General features: G+C 40.9%; 2 long non-coding RNA genes and 1 other non-coding gene across 8 annotated transcripts in view, besides 1 other annotated feature; 2 read left to right on the forward strand and 1 right to left on the reverse strand.

The window, feature by feature from the left end:
- Positions 1-17861, forward strand: part of MIRLET7A1HG (miRlet-7a-1/let-7f-1/let-7d cluster host gene) — a 34648-nt gene that overhangs the window by 11543 nt on the left and 5244 nt on the right. Inside the window, exons 3-4 of one of the 4 annotated variants that reach the window (NR_170278.1) lie at positions 2020-2121; positions 5463-5646. The exons of 2 other annotated variants lie outside the window; for them this stretch is intronic. This is a non-coding gene — a long non-coding RNA (miRlet-7a-1/let-7f-1/let-7d cluster host gene). The remainder of the gene's footprint in view (positions 1-2019; positions 2122-5462; positions 5647-17861) is intronic. One more of the 4 variants, NR_170277.1, reaches the window with a different exon arrangement.
- Positions 1-17861, reverse strand: part of LINC02603 (long intergenic non-protein coding RNA 2603) — an 82743-nt gene that overhangs the window by 1232 nt on the left and 63650 nt on the right. The gene's annotated exons all lie outside the window — the stretch shown is intronic.
- On the forward strand, positions 1034-1120 carry MIRLET7D (microRNA let-7d). The gene has a single exon (NR_029481.1). It is a non-coding gene; the product is annotated as a microRNA let-7d (primary transcript).
- Positions 1445-1494: an enhancer, noted in NCBI's record as "active region_28628". NCBI's record gives its function as "activates an Ori minimal core promoter by ATAC-STARR-seq in GM12878 lymphoblastoid cells {active_cell/tissue: GM12878}" and the evidence as "EXISTENCE:reporter gene assay evidence [ECO:0000049][PMID:35858748]".

The raw sequence follows: 17861 nt of genomic DNA on the forward strand, positions 1-17861 counted from the left end.
TAAATCGAAATAAAACTTTAAAAATGCCTTTATGGAGAGAATGACTATCTCTGAAAGCTTGTTTTTAATGATGATAAAATTCATGATCAGAATTTGTTTCTGTTTGCTTTAATTCAGGGGTCAAAAACTGAAATACCATCAGAGGCCCAGGAGGGGCTAGTTGTAACTGGCAAATATAGTAAATTAATTTGCTCTGGTTGATAGGTAGCAAGCAGGGTTTATATACATTGTCACCTACTTTTCCAGTTAACAGGAGAGACTGGAGATTTTATGAAATTTGATATTTAAATGTTGGTAACTGGGTTGGGCACCATGGCTCACACCTCTAATCCCAGCACTTCGGGAGGCTGAGGCGGGTGGAGCACCTGAGGTCAGGAGTTAAAGACCATCCTGACCAGCCTGGTGAAACACAGTCTCTAATAAAGATACAAAAATTAGGCCGGGTGTGGTGGCTCATGCCGGTAATCCCAGCACTTTGGGGAGGCCAAGGTGGGCGGATCACCTGAGTCAGGAGTTTGAGACCAGCCTGCCTAAATGGTGAAAACCTGTTTCTACTAAAAATACAAAAAAGTAGCTGGGCGTGGTGGTGGGCGCCTGTAATCCCAGCTACTCTGGGGGCTGAGGCAGGAGAATCACTTAAACCCAGGAGGCAGAGGTTGCAGTGAGCCGAGATCACACCACTGTACTCCAGCCTGGGTGACAGAGCGAGACTGTCCAAAAAAAAAATTGATAATTAAATGTTAAAAGTCAGCGACTCCAGTAATACGTGGTGGGCTGAGTATTAGACTACTGGCTTACATCCTCTGATGTCATTACTTTCTTGTTCGTTTGTGACTTGAGGTTGGATTTTAAGCAAATGTATTTGTGGCTTTTTACCAAGGTCATATGGCCAGATAACTTTTCAAAAGCATTAGTTAAAGAATTCTGATTAGTTTGAATTAGAAACAAAACTCAAAGAACATGACCTAATTTAACAGGTTAATTTGAAGTGCATCTGCCAAGTAGAAGACCAGCAAGAAAAAAAAAATGGGTTCCTAGGAAGAGGTAGTAGGTTGCATAGTTTTAGGGCAGGGATTTTGCCCACAAGGAGGTAACTATACGACCTGCTGCCTTTCTTAGGGCCTTATTATTCACCGATAACCTGTTTCCTTGCTACTTTGCTTTGGTGTAAGCAGAGTTCTTTCTGTAGGTTTTTTCAAATGAAAACATTGCAAGAATATCAAAGAGAGCAGTGTTTGCGTTAGTGATTATAAACTGCAGCATGGTGCTGACATTGATAACTGAAAGTCAACTAATGAGAATTTGAGACTTCTGAAGTACACTTAGTTGCTAGTGTCTCCCTTTTGGTGTCACTGGAAAGTTTAGAAAGCATGGTTTTGTTTTTGCTCAGGTTTCTCTTTCTGTGATGCAGAGACTCTCAGCTGTTCCTCCTCTATGTCTACATTATGTCTGAAGGAAAGAATTTAACAAAACTTGAAATACTGCTGTTTTTCTACAATGTTTGTAAATATTTATCTTGCTGCTTTTCTAGGTTTGTCTTCTGGATTTAAAATTTGGGGCGGCTGGGGTGGAATTGCATGGTTTGGGAATGGGTAATTGAGCTGCTGCTCATTATGGTATGTAACAGTGATTTGTCTGTTTAATATGTACAAGAACTGGAAGGTCAATAAAATGAAAGTGGTTGTCTTGACTGGGTAATAGTGTTACATATTTTGTTAAAAGTTATACATCTTTTCAATAAAAACACTGCATACTTCAAAACTAGTGCTTTTTAAGTCATCCTTAACCCTTATCCCCATCCTTGCAGTAGTAGATGCATTTTTCATTTGTAATTATTATGATTTGTTCTTAGTTTCATTTTTCATTAGCAATAATTTGGTGATTGGATGGTCATTTACAGATGTTTTAATAAAGCTAACACGAGCAATTTCCAGCTCTTCCATTTTTGTAAACACTTGTGTGACTTTGTACAGACAATTAACTGCTCAGGATCACCCTCCTTTTTGTTTTGTTTTTGAGATGGTCTCATTCCGTCACCCATGCTGGAGTGTAGTGAAATGATCACAGCTCACTGCAGCCTTGACCTCCCGGACTCAAGCTTCCTAGTAACTGGGACTACAGGTGCATACAACCATGCCTGGCTAATTTTATTTTTGTAGAGACGGTTTCACCATATTGCCCAGACTGGTCTTGAACTCCTGATTATCCTCTGGCTTTTACCTCCCAAAGTGCTGGCCAGGACAGCCTCCTTTCTTTACTTGAGTAATTATTTGAGTTTGCTCAGGCAGACACTACCTTGTAAAAACTCTTATGTCTCATTTCACTAGTCTAGTTTGAGCATTTATCATTCTAGGAATGAGACGAATTTGTGCATTAGCATTCCATCTTTTTCCAACTACTATGAACAGTAGTATTTTTTTTTATTTTATTTTATTTTTTGAGACAAAATCTCACTGTTTCCCAGGCTAGAGTGCAGTGGTGTGATCTCAGCTCACTGCTGCAACCTCCACCTCCTGGGTAGAGTAGACAGGATTTAGGTAATTTTTTGTATTTTTATTAGAGACAGGGTTTCACTATGTTGGCCAGGCTGGTCTTGAACTCCTGGCCTCAAGTGATCCACCGGCCGTGGCCTTCCAGAGTGCTGGGATTACAGGTGTGAACCACCCTTGCCTGATCATGAGCAGTAATACATTTAAAAGTCTCCAGGGGTGAGAAAGTTGAAAGGAAATTCAGTGGAGTTTCCCATCCTGCCCCTCTGCTGCCTAGCCCCTTGCTCCAGTGGAAGGAAGAATCGTGATCTAGGGATGTTCTCATACTTGGGGCTTTAAATTTCCTTTATGAATTGAGATGGTTGGGTATGTTTTCTAAGGTACCTTACATGGTACAGTTCTTTAAAGTTGAAGATTTAAGTTGTGGCAAAATTGCATCAATTTCATGTGCACTGATTTAGGCGAAGATGCGTAGGAAAAGAGCAAGGAAATGAGGTGTGATAGGATTGGGGTAATTTCAAAATGAGTATTTCTGCCTGGCCTAGTGGTTCACGCCTGTAATCACAGCACTTTGGGAGGCCAAGGCAGGCAGATCCCCTGAGGTCAAGAGTTCGAGACCAGCCTGGCCAACATGATGAAACCCCATCTTACTAAAAAAAAGTAGCTGGCATGGTGGTGGGCTACTTGTGAGGCTGATGTAAGGAGAACCGCTTGAACCAGGGAGGTGGAGGTTGCAGTGACCAGAGATTACGCTATTGCACTCCAGCTTGGACGACAGAGCAAGACTGTCTTAAAAATGTTTCTAGTTTCACTTATTCTAAATTTATGTCTAACCATTTTTAGTGAAGTATTTGAGTCACATCAGCTAGCCTTTTTCCTACAGCGTTGAAGTAATTTTCTAGGTTCCTTGCTCTCCCCCCATTTTATTTCCTACTTTGCTTTCTGTTGTTGGGGTCCTATGGGGAGGGCTGGGAAAGGAGTTGGGCCCTCTTAGGACTGGTCATCAATCTTTGTTCTGAGCAGTGTTTTGTTTTCTGGTTGAATGGCTGACCTGAAGGAAGCATCAGACTCCTTGGGATTCTGAAATCCTATTTCTTGATAGAAACCCATAACTTATTTTAGTTTGACTTAAAAACGATCCATAAGTAAGCATGCAGGGTTGGTGTAACTGCATTGAACTGGTAACATCAGAAACACGGGTAGAAATGAGGTACCCCAGTGATACGGAAGCTTTGTGACTGATGTCCTGGATTCTTTCTAGCTTTTCTTCCAGCCCTAACACATGGTTTCCATTCTCAAGGTTACCTCTGTAACAACTGACTGCTATAACTGGCCACGTCGTTTTTCCATTCATGAAGATGGAAAAAGGAAAAGGCAGAAGGGACACTTTTATGGTTGAATTCATTTAGTTTTCTCAAGAAATGCCACCTAGTGACTCCTTTACGTGTAATCCCTTGGAACTATCACAGACTAGACCAAGGAATCCTGGAAAGTGGTCCTGGCAGGACTGATTGCCAGGCTGAATACAATCAGGGTCCCACTAGTAAGGAGGGGAGAAAGGAAATAACACAGATAGTTATCTGCAGTAATTGGCATTAGGAAAAAAAACTTGACAAAGACTGACAAGCTCTGTTCCACTCCTGCCATTTAAAGAAAAACACACACACGCATAAAAACACCAAGTGGCCTCAGATGGGCAGCACTCCTCCTGACCCTGGGCTTCAGAAATTTTCACTGGGAGTCTGATGAGGCTCAGCCACAGTTGTGTGGGACTGTTCTCAATTTCAAGCAGAGGAGCAGAGAAAGCTGGTTAGTTGCGGAGGCTTCCCACATTACTTGGACCCTACAATATATATGACTTCTATCACAGGACATGGTACAGAACTGGAACAATAAAGCATTTTTTAAAATTTAATTTCTTGAGCAATTTTAGTTTCACAGCAAAATTGAGCAGAAAGTATAGTGTTCACATATACTTCCCTGTTTATTACGCACACACTGCCTTCCTCACTACTGAAGTCCTGACCATAATGGTACATTTTAATAAAGCAGTTTGTTTTTCCCTTTTCTTTGAAGTTGTTCCATCATGAGAATTAGGCTAAAAGTCTTAGCTTACTGCCCCATGGAAGGAAGGACAAATAGCAATGACCAAGCAACGTATTTTTAGCTTTGAGGCCAAAATTGGCTGAAAATGACAGAAGCAGTTACTTCAGAGAAAATGATTTTTTGCAGTTCTGCATAAATTTGAAGAGGTAAACCTGGATTGCTGAGAACAATGAGTTATATGCAGTGGACTAGAGGAAGATGCATATTCAACCATGTCTTTTTTTCCATCCAAGAAGAGTTACTAGCAAGCAGTAAGATGAGAGGAAATGAAACCAGTCAGACTGCTGAGTGCTGGAGAAGCGGTCCCTGTGCACACTCCGGCATGGGCATGGTAGGACTACCTGTATGGATTAAGGGGAGTCAAGGGTCAGGGGATGGTTGATCTGCATTTTTTTCCCCAGGGCATAACCTGAGACCACAAAGCTTCTAGGGAAGGGTTGTGTACATCATGGCCCCACAGCAGTGAGAGGCTTGAAGAATGCTCTGGCTAAAGACACGGAGGTGCTGTGGCAGGCACTGTTACTTGCCTACCCAAATATCCCCTTGCTGGGAGAACCTTGATTTTGTTGAGGTATGGATCTCAGGAAAGTTACCCTAGTTTTTTGTCTAGGGGTAGGCATGTGACCAGATTTGATCAGTGAGATGTAAAGACCAGTGGTAGGGAGAGGGTTTCTTTCTTTTCTTCTCCCTCCCCCGACCCACCCCAGAGTCTCGCTTTGTCACCCAGGCTGAAATGCAGGGGCGTGGTCACGGCTCACTGCTGCCTTGACCTCCCCAACTCAAGCGGTCCTCCTACCTCAGCTTCCCACATAACTTGGACTTTACGCGCACACCGCCATGCCTGGCTAATTTTTTTCTGTTTTACAGACGGAGTCTTGCTATGTTGCCCAGGCTGGTCTTGAACTCCGGGGCTCAGACAGTCCTCCCACCTTGGGCTCCCAGAGTGCTGGGATTACTGCTGTGAGCCACTGCACCTGCCTGCATCATGCTTAGGTTTGAATGTGGTTGTGTGATGATCAGAGCTGCTGCAGCCATCTTGTGACCACGAAGGGTAGGTTAGGTCAATAATACCAACCAAGAGTTCTGACATTACTGAGCTGTTGAGTCAATGCCAGCATCTGCTCTCCTCTACACTTTGTATTATATGAGAAAAATGAACTACCTTATAGTGAATGGGGGTTATGAGACTTGCAGGGAAAAGCTCTCCTCACAGGATCCCACATAGGGAAGTCCAGGGAAAGCCCCTAAATGTGAGGGAAGAGGAAAGGTGCTAAGGGGCCATCAGGAAGAAGCCTATGGCTTAGATAAGGATGGTAGACAATGGATCTCTGACATCTGTAGCAGGACCCTGAACGTGAGCATGAACATGAAGTGGTAAGAGGCTGATGGCAAGACCACATTTCTGAAACTGGGATCTTACAAGTGGCAGGCAGCAAGGACCAAGCTCAAGACAGTATGGACCAAACAGTAAGGACACCCCTTCTTAGTGCTGACATGAGTTAAGCCCTTTGGAAATTTAGATCCTCTTGAATTTGATAAACTAACTCTCCTAAAAACTGCTTTAAATCGAGACAGTTCTCTTAAATGGATGAAATTTCAGTGTTCTGCCATTAGTAGACATGGGGGCTCAAGATACTCGGCAACAAAAGTTTTTGTTACATTTTTGCTCTCTTGAATGGCAACTGTAAACTTTGAACCTCTGCAGTTACCCTAATGCAGAACTTATTATTTATAGACTTTTTGATGATTTACAATGAAATACTGATATAGAAACAGATGTTTAAAAGAAAACTGTATAGCTTGTCTCACTTAAGTAACGTAGCCTAAGTTTCTTAAACCCAAGATCTCATTTTAGCTACCTAGGTATATTGTCCAGAGTACTGAATATGAGCACATTTCACATGACAGGCTCTTAAATGCAAGTGTGTGTGCGTGTATGTGTCTGTGGTGTGTGTGTGTGTGTGTGTAGTCCTTGCATTGCCTGGCATCTTGTTACAGTAATTCATGCACATAAGAACCATGTCCTTGCTTTGCCTTGCCTGGTAGAGAACTATGCAAAGCAAGAACAAGGCTCCAGTATGAACAAGTTTGTATTAGCATGGTATCATGAAATGTAAGAACTCCCTGTGTATGCTGTATGTACCCTTTCCTTCTTAAAATATGCCCAGCACCCTTCTATGTCTTTGTCTTCTCATTAGTCTTGGAAATACTGGTCATAGGTCCTCATGGGGAACTAACTTCTCTAAGCTTTCAGGTTGTATCATCCAGCCCATTGGCAGCTACTTAGGAAGCTTTTTATACTCTACCCTGAAGTGTGGTGTTTTAACTAGGTCTGAAAGCAGAGGAGTGACCCAGTAGAGGGTCACTGACCAAAATGAGAAATGAGGTGGTTGAGAAAATCTGAAAAGATGCACAAGGTTTCAGGTATAATACATTTGTCTAATATCTCCCAAGATTGCAAATAAGTTTCCCTAAGTAGTCTTATGATTATTTTATTATCTTGGGCACTTCAGTATAGGGGAAAGAAGGGCAGAGTATGGTGAATGGCAGAGCAGAAGATGCCTAAATAGTTGGGAAAAATAATCCTGTGACTGGAAAACTGCATTAAAAATAATATCTGGCCAGGCGCGGTGGCTCACGCCTGTAATCCCAGCACTTTGGGAGGCTGAGGCAGACGGATCACGAGGTCAGGAGATCAAGACCATCCTGGCTAACATGGTGAAACCCCATCTCTACTAAAAATACAAAACAAATTAGCCGGGCATGGTGATGGGTGCCTGTGGTCCCAGCTACTCGGGAGGCTAAGGCAGGAGAATGGTGTGAACCCGGGAGGCGGAGCTTGCAGTAAGCCGAGATCATACCACTGCACTCCAGCCTGGGTGACAGAGTGAGACTCCATCTCAAAAAATAATAATAATAATAATATCTTGTTGATACATCCTTCTTTTGTGATTGGGGGAAATGGTGACTTAATCCCTAAAGGAATCATGTAATATGTAGACCTTTGAATATGGCTTTTTTCATTTAGCCTGTTTTTAAGGTTCATTCTTGTTGTGATATATATATTTTTGAAATAGGTTCTCACTCTGTTTTCCAGGCTGGAGTGCAGCATTGTGATCTTGACTCACTGCAGTGTCGACCTCCTGAGCTCAACTGTTTCTTTATATTTCTGAGTAGTATTTTCTTGTATAGATATCAAATCTTCTTTATCTTCTTTTTTTTTTTTTTTTTTTTTTTTTTTAGACAGAGTCTCGCTCTGCACACCCAGGCTGGAGTGCAGTGGTGCTATCTCGGCTCACTGTAAGCTCTGCCACCCGAGTTCACGCCATTCTTCTGCCTCAGCCTCCCGAGTAGCTGGGACTACAGGCGTCCGCCACCACGCCCAGCTACTTTTTTGTATTTTTAGTAGAGGCAGGGTTTCACCATGTTAGCAGGGATGGTCTCGATCTCCTGACCTGGTGATACGCCCACCTCGGCCTCCCAAAGTGCTGGGATTACAGGCGTGAGCCACCGCACCTGGCCTTTTTTTTTTTAATTTTAATTTTTTTTTTTTTTATGTTTTTGAGATGGAGTCTCACTCTGTCTCCCAGACTGGAGTGCGGTGGCATGATTTTGGCTCACTGCAGCCTCCACTTTCCAGGTTCAAGCCATTCTCCTGCCTCAGCCTCTGGAATAGGTGGGATTACAGGCGCTTGCCACCACGCCTGGCTATTTTTATGTTTTTAGTAGAAACGGGGTTTCCACATGTTGGCCAGGCTGAGGTCAAACTCCTGACCTCAGGTGATCCACCTGCCTTGGCCTTTCAAAGTGCTGGGATTACAGGCGTGAGCCACCACACCGGCCTTGTTTATCCTTTCACCAGTTGGTGGGTATTTGGATTCTTTTTTTCTAGCTTTGGTTCTTATGATTAATGCTGCTACACAGCATTAATGTCCACAATTCTTTCTGTGGACATCTGTTTTCAGTTCTCTGGGAGAAATACCTAGGAGTGGAATTGCTGAGTTGCATGGTAAATTTAACCTTCTAGGAAACTGTCAGACCGTCAAACTATTCAATTGTTTCAGCACCATTTGTTGAGAAGACTGTCTTTTTTTAGTCGAATTGGCCTGACACCTTAATTGAAAATTAATTCACTATATATAGGTGGCCTTATTGCTTGACCTCTATTCTGTTTCATTAATCTATATATCTATCTTTATGCTAGTACCACACTGTTTTGGTTACTGTGGCTTTATAAAGTTTTGAAATGAGTAGTATAAGTCCTCCAGTGTTGTTCTTTTTCAAAATTGTTTTTGCTACTCTAAGTTACATGCATTTCTATGTAAACTTTACAATCAGCCTGTAAGTTTCTTAAAAATCTTGGATTTTGACGGGGATAGCTAATTGATAACAATGCTGAGTTTTCCTGTCCACGAACCTGGAATGATCTCTCCATTTCTTTAGATCTATAATTTGAGCAGTGTTCTGGAGTTTTCAGTATATAAGTCTTACACTTCTTTTATTAAATTTATTCCTGTTACATTCTTTTTTTTTTTTTTTTTTTTTGAGACGGGGTCTTGTTCTTTTGCCCAGGCTGGAGTACAGTGGCTATTCACAGGTGTGATCATAGTGTACTATAACCTCGACTCCTGTGCTCAAGTGATCCTCCTGCCCCATCCTCCACATAGCAGGGACTACAAGTGTTTGCCACTGTGTGCAGCTCTTTATTGTTTTTGATAATATTGTGAACATATTGTTTTCTTAATTTGATATTCAGATTGTTCATTGCTAAATACAGTTGACATTCATATACTGATCTGTGTCTTGTCACCTTATTGAACTCATTTATTAGTTCTGGTAGTATTTGGGGGGATTGTTTAGGGTTTACTACAATTTGGATCATGTCATCTGTGAATAAAGACAGTTTTACTATTTCTTATCAATCTGGATGCAATTTCTCTTCCTTCTCCTTAAAAAATTGCCTTATTCCATTAGTTAGAATCTTCATTACATTATTGAATAGAAGTGGTAAGAAGAGGTATCTTACTTTGTTTTATGCTGCTATAATAAAATACCACAGACTGGCTAATTTATGAAGGACAGAAATTTGTTTCTCGCAGTATTGAAGACTGGGAAGTCCAAGATCAAAGCACCAGCATCTTGTGTGGGTCTTGCTGCATCCTCACATAGTGGAAGGTGGAAGGAGAAGAGAGAGCAAATCCACTCCCACAAACCCTTTTTATAGGGTCATTAATTCATTCATGATGGTGGAGCTCTCTCATGACTAAACACCTACTCTAGAATTGCTATTGGAATTTCTTTTTATATTTTCTATCTATGTATTGATATTCTCTATTTGTTTATATATTATATTCTTGGTTCTCTCTAGTTCTTTGTTCTTGGTTTCCTTCAGCTCTTTGAGCATATTTAGGACAGGTGATTTAAAGCCTTTTATATTAAGTCTGGGCTTCCTCAAGGATGGTTTCTATTAATTTCTTTACTCCTGTTGGCTAGCCATACTTTCCTGTTTCTTTGTATGCCATACAATTTTTTTCTTAAAAATGGGATATTTGGGCTGGGTATGGTGGCTCACGCCTGCAATCCCAGCACATTGGGAGGCCAAGGCAGGCAGATCACTTGAGGTCAGGAGTTCAAGACCAGTCAGGCCAACATGGTGAAACCCGCCTCTACTAAAAATACAAAAATTAGCCAGGTGTGGTGGGGTGTGCCTGTAATCCCAGCTATATGGGAGGCTGAGGTAAAGAGAAAGTAGGCTTGAACCTGGGAGGCGGAGGTTGCAGCGAGCCAAGATCACACCATTGGACTCCAGCCTGGGCAACAGAGTGAGACTCCATCTCAAAAATATATAAATAAATAAAATAAAATAAAATAAAATAAAGGGGGATATTTGGAATATTATAATGTGAAAAGCTGATTCTCCCACCTCCCCAGTGTTTGCTGTTGTTGATTGTAGGTGTTTGCCATCATCCATTTGTTTAGTGACTTTTCCAAATTATATTTGCAAATACTATATTCCTTGTCTTGTGTGGTCACTGAAGTCTCTTCTCTTATTTTAGCAGTCAGTTATTTCACAGAGATGTGCCTTAATGGCTGGGGCCAAAAAGAAACCAAAACCAAAAAACTCTCCTAGTCTTTGCAGATTGGATCTGAGCTGAGGGATTCCTTCAATGCTTAGCCAGGCTATCTATGACTGTGACTTAGTCTTTACCTCCTACTTGCACAGAGTCCAAAAATCAGCCAAAGGTGCAAGCCTAGGGTTCTATCATTCTTTTTTTATGAGCATGTTCCCAGCCTCATGCATGCATATTGCACTCTGGGTTCTCCAGTATACGCAGTAGCCCTTCAAAACCATTAATTCCCAAGAAACTTCTGCCTCAGCTTTCTTCTTTCCAGATGTTTGATTCTATATACCACCCACCAGCTCCTGCCCCATCCACCACACCTTGATCCAGACAGCTATGTGTAGTATATGTCTGAATGCTTTTGACAGATGTCACCTGGAAAGCCACTCTAGGCTGAAGGGGTTGTAAAAGAGCTTATCCTATGCACCAGTCCCTTAGGGAATTGTCAGGTCAAAACTCAGAGCCAGGCCGGGCGTGGTGGCTCACGCCTGTATTCCCAGCACTTTGGGAGGCTGAGGTGGGCGGATCACGAGGCCAGGAGATCGAGACCATCCTGGCTAACACGGTGAAACCCCATCTCTACTAAAAATACAAAAAAATTAGCCAAGTGTGGTGGCGGGTGCCTGTAGTCCCAGCTACTTGGGAGGCTAAGGCAGGAGAATGGCATGAACCCAGGAGGTGGAGGTTGCAGTGAGCTGAGATGGCACCACTGCACTCCAGCCTGGGTGACAGAGCAAGATACTGTCTCAAAAAAAAAATAAATAAATAAATAACTCAGAGCCATAATTTTTGGGAAACATGGTTATTGGCATCAGAAAGCCACACTAGGAATGCAGATCCCTGTTCCCATTGCTATTGGTGACCTGGGAAATGGAATTGATAAGAAAGGAAGCAAAAAAATTTTTTTTCGTTAAGCACTTCACTGGTTGCCGCCAGTTTTGTATTAGAATCCAGAGTTTGAAAAAGTTGATTCTGTCAGATTTTGCCAGCTTAATGGATGCTTCAGTGGAGGGACTGGACTGATTATTGGAACTCCCTACTCCATCATTTATGTGGCATCACCTAACTGCTTTTGCTTGCCTTAGAACTTCCAGCACAGATACGAAAAAAAATGGTGAGAGAAGACATCCTTGCCTTGTTCTTACATGGAAGACATTGAGTCTTTCACTGTTAGGTATGTTAGCTATAGTTATTTTTAAGAAAATCTTTATCAAGTTTAGGAAATTTCCCACTATTGCTAGTTTTTTGAGAGTTCTTATGAATGCTATGAATTTTGTCAAATGATTTTCTGTATTTATTAGTATAGTCATGATCATATGATTTTTAAAATATATATTTTGAAATTTCTTTTTTGTCTTTTATCTTTGTTTTTATGTTATTCCAATGAATTTTTAAAATTTCAATAGCTTTGGGGGTACAAATGGTTTTTGGTTGCATAGATGAATTATATAGTGGTAAAGAAAGTCTGAGATTTTAGTGCCCTTATCACCTGAGTAGTGTACGTTGTACCCAATATGTAGATTGTTATTTCTCACCCTCCACTCCCCTCCTGCTTCTCATTTTCCATAGTCCATTATATCACTCTGTATGCCTTTATGTACCCACTTATACCATACGTTGTCACTTACAAGCTTAGTTCTCACTTATAAGTGACAACATATGATATTTTGTTTTTCATTCCTGAGTTACTTCACTTAAAATAATGGCCACCAGCTCCATCCATGTTGTTGCAAAAGACATTAATTTGTTCTTCTTTGTGGCTGAGTAGTATTCCATGGTATACATATACCACATTTTCTTTATCCGCTTATTGGTCGATGGGCGCTTAAGTTGGTTCCATATCTTTGCAACTGTGAATTATGCTGCAATAAACATACCTGTGCAGGTGTCCTTTTGATATAATTACTTCTTTTCCTTTGAGTAGATACCCAGTAGTGAGATTGCTGGATCAAATGGTAGATCTACTCTTAATTTTTTTGGAAATCTTCAAACTTTTCCATAGAGATGGTACTAATTTGCATTCCCACCTGCAGGGTATGAAAGTGTTTTTTCACCACATCCACACCAACATATATTGTTGTTTAGCTTTTTAAATAGCCGTTATTGCAGGAGTAGGGTGGCTTTACTTTGCATTTCCCTGATGATTAGTGATGTTGAGCATCTTTACATACATTTTTTGGCCATTTGTATATCTTCTGTTGAGAAATGTCTGTTCATGTCATTTGCCCACTTTTTGATGGGATGATTTGTAGGTGTTTTTTTCCTGCTGATTTGCTTGAGTTTTTTGTAGATTCTGGATATTAGGCCATTGTCAAATGTATGCTTTACAAATATTTTCTCCCATTCTCTGGGTTGTCTGTTTACTCTGATGATTATTTCTTTTGCTGCACAGAAGTTTTTTAGTTTAATTAGATTCCATTTATTTATTTTTGTTTTGTTACATTTGCTTTGGGGGTCTTAGTCATGAATTACTTGCCTAGGCCAATATCCAAAAGAGTTTTTCCTAGGTTATCTTCCAGAATTTGTATGGTTTTGGGTCTTAGATGTAAGTCTTCCATCCATCTTGAGTTGATTTTTGTGTAAGGTTAGAAATGGGGATCCAGTTTCATTCTTCTACATGTGGCTAGCCAGTTTCCCAGCACCATGTATTAAATAGGGTGTCCATTTGCCAATTTATGTTTTTGTATGTTTTGTCAAGGATCATTTGGCTCTATGTATTTGGCTTTACCTCTGGGTTCTCTACTCAGTTCCATTGGTCTACATGCCTACTGTTATACCAGAACTATGCTGTTTTGGTACTGTATTAGTCTGTTTTTGCACTGCTGTAAAGAAATACCCAAGACCGGGTAATTTATAAAGAAAAGAGGTTTAATTGGCTCATGGTTCTATAGGCTGTACAGGAAGCATAGCGGCTTCTGCTTCTTGGGAGGCCTCAGGAAACTTACAATCATGGTGAAAGGCAAAAGGGAAGTAGGCACATCTTACGTGGCCAGAGAAGGAGTGAGAGAGAGAGGTGGGAGGTGCTACACTTTTTTTTTTTTTTGGAGACGGAGTTTCACTCTTTTTGCCCAGGCTGGAGTGCAATGGCACCATCTTAGCTCACTGCAACCTCCGCCTCCCAAGTTCAAGCGATTCTCCTGCCTCAGCCTCCCAAGTAGCTGCGATTACAGGCGCCCACCACCATGCACAGCTAATTTTTTTGTATCTTTAGTAGAGATGGAGTTTCACCATGTTGGCCGGGCTGGTCTCAAACTCCTGACCTCAGGTGATCCACCCACTTCGGCCTCTCAAAGTGCTGGGATTTTCACATGGGGCATGAGACACCACGCCCAGCCGGCACTACACGCTTTAAAAACAACCAGATCTTGTGATAACTTACTCACTGTCATGAGAACAGCACCGAAGGGATGGTGCTAAACCATTCATGAGGACTCCACCCCCATGATCCAGTCACTTCCCACCAGGCCCCACCTCCAACACTGGGGATTACAATTTGACATGAAATTTGGTGGGGAGACAGATCCAAACCACATCAGTAACTATAGCCTTGTAGTATAATTTGAAGTCTGGTAATGTGATGCCTCCAGATTTGTTCTTTTTCTTAGGATTGCTTTGGTTATTCAGGCTCTTTTTTGGTTCCATATGAATTATAGGATGTTTTCTTTAATTCTGTGAAAAATAATGTTTGCATTTTGATAGGAATTGCATTGAATCTGTAGATTGCTTTGGGCAGTATGGTCATTTTCACAATATTGATTCTTCCAATCCATGAGCATGGGATGTGTTTACATTTGTTTGTGTCATCTATGATTTCTTTCAGCAGGGTTTTGTAGCTCTCCTTGTATAGCTCTTTCACCTCCTTGGTTAAGTATATTCCTAGGTTGGTTTTTTGTTTATTTGTTTGTTTTGCAGCTGTGATAAAAAGGGATTGAGCTCCTAATTGGATTCTCAGCTTGGTCGTTGTTGATGTGTAGCAGTGCTACTGATTTGTGTACATTGATTTTGTAATCTGAGACTTGACTGATTTTTTTGTTTGTTTTTTGAGATGGAGTCTTGCTCTGGAGTGCAGTGGCCCAGACTTGGCTCACTGCAACCTCCGCCTCTGAAGTTCAAACGATTCTCCTGTCTCAGCCTCCCGAGTAGCTGGGACTACAGCCACCCACCACCATGCCTGGCTAATTTTTGTATTTTTAGTACAGACAGTTTCACCATGTTGGTCAGACTGGTGTCGAACTCCTGAACTCAGGTGATCCACCTGCCTTGGCCTCCCAAAGTGCTGGGATTACAGGCGTGAGCCACCGCGCCCAGCCAACTGAATTTGTTTATCAAATCTATGCGTCTTTTTGAGGAGTCTTTAGGGTTTTCTAGTTATATGATGATATCATCTGCAAACAGCTATAGTTTGACTTCCTCTTTTCCAATTTGGATGCCCTTTATTTCTTTCTCTTGCCTGATTGCTCTGGCTATGACTTCCAGTACTATATTGAATAGAACTGGTGAAAGTAAACATCCTTGTCTTGTTCCAGTTCTCAGGGGGGAATGCTTTCACTTTTTCCGCATTGAGCATGATGTTAGCTGTAGCTTTGTCATATACGGCTTTTGTTATTTTGAGATAAGTCCCTTCTATGCCTAGTTTGTTGAGTGTTTTTATCATAAAGAAATGCTGGATTTTATTGAATCCTTTTTCTGCAACTATTGAAATGATCATGTAGTTTTTGTTTTAAATTCTGTTTATGTGATATATCACATTTATTGACATGAGTATGTTAAACCATCCCTGCATTCCTCGGATGAAGTCCACTTGATCATGGTGTATTATATTTTTGATATGCTGTTGGATTTTCTTAGCTAGTATTTTGTTGATGATTTTTGCCTCCATGTTCATTAGGGATATTGGTCTGTCATTTTCTTTTTTTCTTTTTTTGTATGTCCTTTCCTGGTTTGGCTATCAGGGATATACCGGTTTCATAGAATGAGTTAGGGAGGATTACCTCTTTCTCAGTCATTTGGAATAGTTTCAGTAGGATTGGCACCAGTTCTTCTTTGAATGTCTGATAGAATTTATCCATTAATCCATCTGGTCCTGGGCTTTTCTTGTTGGCAATCTTTTTTGAAATTACTGATTCAGTCTCACTGCTTGTTATTGGTCTGTTCAGGGCTTCTGTTTCTTCCTGATTTAATCTAGGAGGGTTGTATGTTTCCAGGAATTTATCCATTTCCTTTAGCTTTTCTGTTTATCTCCATAGAGGGGTTCATAGTAGACTTGAATGATTTTTTCTGTTGCTATGGTGTTCATTGTAATGTCTCCAGTTTCATTTCTAATTGAGTGTATTTGAGTCTTCTTTTCTTGGTCAGTCTGGCTAATGGTCTATCAATTTTGTTTATCTTTTCAAAGAACCAGCTTTTTTGTTTCATTGATATTTTGTATTTTTTTAAATTTAATTTTCATTTGGTTCTGTTCAGATCTTTGTTACTTCCTTTCTTTTGCTAGATTTGGGTTTAGTTCTTGTTTCTCTAGTTCCTTGAGGTATGATGTTAGGTTGTCAATTTGTGATCTTTTAGACTTCTTGATGTAGGCATTTAGTGCTACAAACTTTCCCTTAGCACTGCTTTTGTCCTATCCCAGAGGTAATGATAACTTGTGTCACTATTATCCTTCATTTCAAGGAATTTTTAAATTTCCTTTATTTTTTCTTTTTGAGACAGAATCTTGCTCTGTCTCCCAGGTTGGAGTGCAGTGGCGTGATCTTGGCTCACTGCAACCTCTGCCTCCCAGGTTCAATCGATTCACCAGCCTCTGCCTCCTGAGTAGCTGGGACTACAGGCGTGTGCCAGAATGCCTGGCTAATTTTTGTATTTTTAGTAGAGATGGGGTTTTGCCATGTTGGCCAGGCTGGTCTCTAACTCCTGACCTCAGGTGATCTGCCCACCTTGGCCTCTGAAAGTGGTGGGATTACGGGCATGAGCCACTACACCCAGCCTAAACTTTCCATCTTGATTTCATTATTAACCCAAAAATCATTCAAGAGCAGACTGTTTAATTTCTGTGTATTTGTATAGTTTTGAGGGTCCCTTTTGTAGTTGATTTCTAGTTTTATTCCACTGTGGTCTTAGAAGATATTTGATATGATTTTGATATTTGTAAATTTATTGAGACTTGTTTTGTGGCCTCTCATATGGTCTGTCTTGGAGAATGTTTCATATGCTGAAAGGAAGAATTTGTATTCTGCAGTTCTTGGGAAGAATGTTCTGTAAGTATCTATTAGGTCCATTTATTCTAGAGTATAGTTTAAGTCCATTGTTTCTTTGTTGACTTTCTGTCTTGATCTGTCTAGTGCTGTCAGTGGAGTGGGTGAAGTCTCCCACTACTCTTGTGTTGCTATTTTATTTCTTAGGTCTAGTAGTAAATGTTTTACGAATCTGAGAGTTCCAGTGTTAGGTGCATATAAATTTAGGATTGTAAAATCTTCTTGTTCAGTTGATCCTTTTATCATTATATAATGACCTTCTGTGTCTTTTTTTTTTTTAAACTGTTGTTGCTTTAAAGTCTGTTTTATCTGATATAAGAATAGCTACTACTGACTGGGTGCAGCAGTTCACACCTGTAATCCTAGCACTTTGGGAGGCCAAGGCGGGTAGATCACCTGAGATCAGGAGTTCCAGACCAGCCAGGCCAAATGGTGAAACCCTGTCTCTAGTAAAAATACAAAATTGGCCCATGTGGTGGCTCATGCCTGTAATCCCAGCTACTGGAGAGGCTGATGCAGGAGAATTGCTTGACCCAGGAGGCGGAGGTTGCAGTGAGCTGAGATCGTGCCATTGCACTCCAGCCTGGGCCACAAGAGTGAAACCCTGGCTCAAAAAACAAAAAAACAAAAAAAGAATAGCTACTGCTGCTCACTTTTGGTTTCTATTTGCATGGAATATCTTTTCTACCCCTTTACCTTGAGTTTATATGAATCCTTACATGTTAGGTGAGTCTCTTGAAGACTGCAAATATTTGGTTTGTGATTTTTTTAAGCCATTCTGTCAATCTGTATCTTTTAAGTGGAGCATTTAGGCCATTTACATTCAATGTGAATATTGAGATGTGAGGTATTGTTCCAGTCATCATGTTAATTGTTACCTAGGTACTTGTTTTCTT

This window comes from Homo sapiens, chromosome 9, assembly GCF_000001405.40.
Source record: "Homo sapiens chromosome 9, GRCh38.p14 Primary Assembly".
Classification (NCBI taxonomy): domain Eukaryota; kingdom Metazoa; phylum Chordata; class Mammalia; order Primates; family Hominidae; genus Homo; species Homo sapiens.